Source organism: Homo sapiens, chromosome 11 (assembly GCF_000001405.40).
Source record: "Homo sapiens chromosome 11, GRCh38.p14 Primary Assembly".
Lineage (NCBI taxonomy): Eukaryota > Metazoa > Chordata > Mammalia > Primates > Hominidae > Homo > Homo sapiens.
Genome location: NC_000011.10, coordinates 5056394 through 5060602, shown reverse-complemented (window position 1 = coordinate 5060602; position 4209 = coordinate 5056394). Strand labels below are relative to the sequence as shown.

The 4209-nt window shown below is 35.2% G+C and overlaps 1 protein-coding gene across 1 annotated transcript; it reads left to right on the top strand.

The window, feature by feature from the left end:
• Window positions 1-975: 975 nt before the first annotated feature.
• Window positions 976-1953, top strand: OR52E2 (olfactory receptor family 52 subfamily E member 2). Its single transcript, NM_001005164.2, has one exon. It carries the CDS (start codon window positions 976-978, stop codon window positions 1951-1953), a length of 978 nt encoding a protein of 325 aa, NP_001005164.2.
• Window positions 1954-4209: the final 2256 nt, after the last annotated feature.

Sequence of the window (4209 nt, the reverse complement as noted above, 5' to 3'; positions counted from 1 at the left end):
GTCTAACCTGTGTGTAATATTATGCATGTGTGTGTGTATTTTATCCGGTGTGAATAACACAGATAAGTCATACATTACACTTTTGTTTCCTTCTATTTTCCTTCTATGTAAATTCACTACTTTTATCCCTAGCTTAATTTCCCAGATCATCCATTAGAAGCATTTTAAACATCTGACAAGCCTCTTAAACTCATTGATCGCTTACATGGAAAATATGAAAAATTAATATTCTCCTTGAAGGGTGTTCTTTTTATAAATTGGAGATGATTTGCACATAACAAAGCTTTGCAAATAGTAGGCAGTACTTCAATAATTGGTAGTTGATGCGACTGTTTTCACTGTTATTCTGTATTTTATTTTACAGTAATAATGAGTAAATATTTTTAAATGGACAGTTTTAAACCTTTAAGTGATTTTTAGTATATTTTGGCATAAATTTTGATCAGTCTGTGTGTTTATTGAATAGAGTGTACCCACCCTCTGTGTTAATCCATATGTGTTATCATTCAATCAACTGGAATTAATTTCCACCACTACATTTAAGGGCTAGGAAAACCCTACCTTGTTCAAAATTCAAAGGGGTTCTTTGGTGATGATGGTAATAATGAGAGAGAATAGCTAAAGTAAAAAGTATTCAGGCAAATCTTAGCATAATATTGGCAGTGAGGTTATATTGATAGGGTTTAGGTAGAGTAGAATGCTAGCAAAGTTGAAAGTATCACGTAGAACATTTTATTTTAATTTACTGTATAAATTCATCTAAGAATTTATCCCTGAGATGTTTGTTACTTACCTAAAGTGCTCTGTATACAGTATGTTTCAAAGTGATAGAATTTCCTGCAAAAAATCATGTGCACAAATGTATGTTTCTTATATTAAATTTTTGTCTCCGAACTGCAGAAGCCTGTGTGGTTACATGCAGATTGGGTGAGCATACATTTCTGTAGACTGTGGACTTATGCATTCACAAGCAGGATGTTCCTTCCCAATGACACCCAGTTTCACCCCTCCTCCTTCCTGTTGCTGGGGATCCCAGGACTAGAAACACTTCACATCTGGATCGGCTTTCCCTTCTGTGCTGTGTACATGATCGCACTCATAGGGAACTTCACTATTCTACTTGTGATCAAGACTGACAGCAGCCTACACCAGCCCATGTTCTACTTCCTGGCCATGTTGGCCACCACTGATGTGGGTCTCTCAACAGCTACCATCCCTAAGATGCTTGGAATCTTCTGGATCAACCTCAGAGGGATCATCTTTGAAGCCTGCCTCACCCAGATGTTTTTTATCCACAACTTCACACTTATGGAGTCAGCAGTCCTTGTGGCAATGGCTTATGACAGCTATGTGGCCATCTGCAATCCACTCCAATATAGCGCCATCCTCACCAACAAGGTTGTTTCTGTGATTGGTCTTGGTGTGTTTGTGAGGGCTTTAATTTTCGTCATTCCCTCTATACTTCTTATATTGCGGTTGCCCTTCTGTGGGAATCATGTAATTCCCCACACCTACTGTGAGCACATGGGTCTTGCTCATCTATCTTGTGCCAGCATCAAAATCAATATTATTTATGGTTTATGTGCCATTTGTAATCTAGTGTTTGACATCACAGTCATTGCCCTTTCTTATGTGCATATTCTTTGTGCTGTTTTCCGTCTTCCTACTCATGAAGCCCGACTCAAGTCCCTCAGCACATGTGGTTCACATGTGTGTGTAATCCTTGCCTTCTATACACCAGCCCTCTTTTCCTTTATGACTCATCGCTTTGGCCGAAATGTGCCCCGCTATATCCATATACTCCTAGCCAATCTCTATGTTGTGGTGCCACCAATGCTCAATCCTGTCATATATGGAGTCAGAACCAAGCAGATCTATAAATGTGTGAAGAAAATATTATTGCAGGAACAAGGAATGGAAAAGGAAGAGTACCTAATACATACGAGGTTCTGAATGCAATTTTATGAAATTTCAGTGAGAGAAATGTCTTGTCATAAAAATTATATTCTAATATGTGGCTTTATTGGCTCTCTTCTGTATTTAAATACATTGAATTTCTCCATCTGCTTTTCATACCACATTTTGAGATCTGTTGCTGCATTTTTTTTTTTTTTTTTTGAGACAGAGTCTTGCTCTGTTGCCCAGGCTGGAGAGCAGTGGCATGATCTCAGCTCACTGTAACCTCTGTCCCTGGGGTTCAAGTGATTCTCCTGCCTCAGCCTGCCAAGTAGCTGAGACTATGGGCATGCACCACCATGGCCTGGCTAATTTTTGTTTTTTAGTAGAGATGGGGTTTTACCATATTGCTGCATTCTTGTTCTCTCTATTCAATACTCTTATAATTTCATTTAAGCAGGTAATGTTATTTTTCTCTATTATTTGGAATAGCTGGTTGAAGTGTTTATATCAGATATGAATGCACCCATTTTTGCTGGGTAATTGATGTTTCATGGAGCTGCTTCTTACAATACAATTATAATAATTTTCTGAGTGTCAACTTTTATAACTGTAGGATGCTGGAGATAAAATTTTGACTATGTCACCTTCCCTTACTTTGTGGAATTTATAGAGTCTAAAATTAATGAGCAACTTCAACTTTGAAATGTCCATACTTTTTGTTTTAATTGTTCTATATCATTATAATTTATGTTTATCTTCCCTTAAGAGACACAGCGATTTAATGGTAATGGGGTATCCTAAATGGGATGCTGGATTAGAAAAAGGACATTGGCTAAAAAGTAAGAAAATCTTAATAAAGTATGAGCTTTAGCAATAAATATGTATCAATTACCTGCTTCATTAATTTTGGAAAATAGACTACACTAATATAAGATGTTTACAATAAGGGGAATTAAATGTGGGATATATGGGAACTATCTGCAATATCCTCACGAATTACTGTTATATCTAAAATTATTCTAAAACAAAAGAGGTATTTTTCAAAATCACAATGAATAAATAGGTCCTTTGGGGAAGAACCTATTTTTAAAAAGTCTTGAGTCTCCCTGTCAATGAACTTAGTATACAAATGCATTGATTTTAATTCATACTTAATATAATTTAATAAGGTTTTATACTTTACTAAAAAATAAAAGTCCAACCATTAGCAAAACTTTCTTCTATTATGGAAACCATCTTGGGGCGGAAAAACACCAAGATTTTAGAGTAAGAATAATAAGCTGAGAAAAAATTAGCTCTAAATTTATCTCTCATTCTTCATTTCACCGTAATTCCCCCAAATATTTTTTATATCTTTGTTGAGAGAAAAATTGAAATTATATGTCCTAGTAGAATTTTTAAAATTAGAATTTAATTTCACACAACTGGATTAATTTTATTATTCGAAATAGTTGTTTCATAATGCATTTTGTTTATTTCATTCTAAACCATCTTTGACTGTATTCGTATATCTGCTTGTCTATGTTTTGTATGTCCCTTTCCAATGACACTCAATTCCTCCCATCCTGATCACTCATTACACTTTTTGTCAGCCTGTTTCCACTTCTTTTCCCTGAAACTGAAATTATAAACCAGGAGCATAATTCCTTAATGCTTTCCCCACATGTACTAACAGCAATTGATGCCTGCTGGTGAATTAATAGTTCAACCGGAAACATACATATCACAATAGCACACACACACGAACACGCATGCAAGTTACTGTTTCTTCTTCATGATTATATTTAATATGGCTAAATGAGCTCTAGAGATTATTAGCTACCACATATGAAAGGACAAATGTTTAAACTCACTATGTCTGAACAACAATCCTCCCAGGTTTTGATATACTGATCTCCAAAGCGGGCTGCATACAAACTCAGTCGATACACAGGATGTTAATATTTTATTTTCTTCATGTATGTATTTAAGTGACCAGTAACTCAAAAATATGCATCAATTAACCAAAGTATTAATGAGGAGACCAAATAGAGAAAACACAAAAGACATTAGACCATAAAGAGCATTCTATGTCTTATAATGAGCAAACCTTTTAAAACTAGTAAAACGTACAAATTTAAGGGAGTCTTTATAGCATTCTTGCCATTTTAGTGAAAAACCAAGTAAAGTAAATACCTCTCTTCCAATATTTGGTGGTTTGCAATTTGCTTCTGTTTAATGCTAAATATGTGTGACAGAATACATGAGAATGAATAAATGTTGACCTGGAATTGAAAGTCATAAAAACCCAGCCCAAGAGGGGAAAAATAA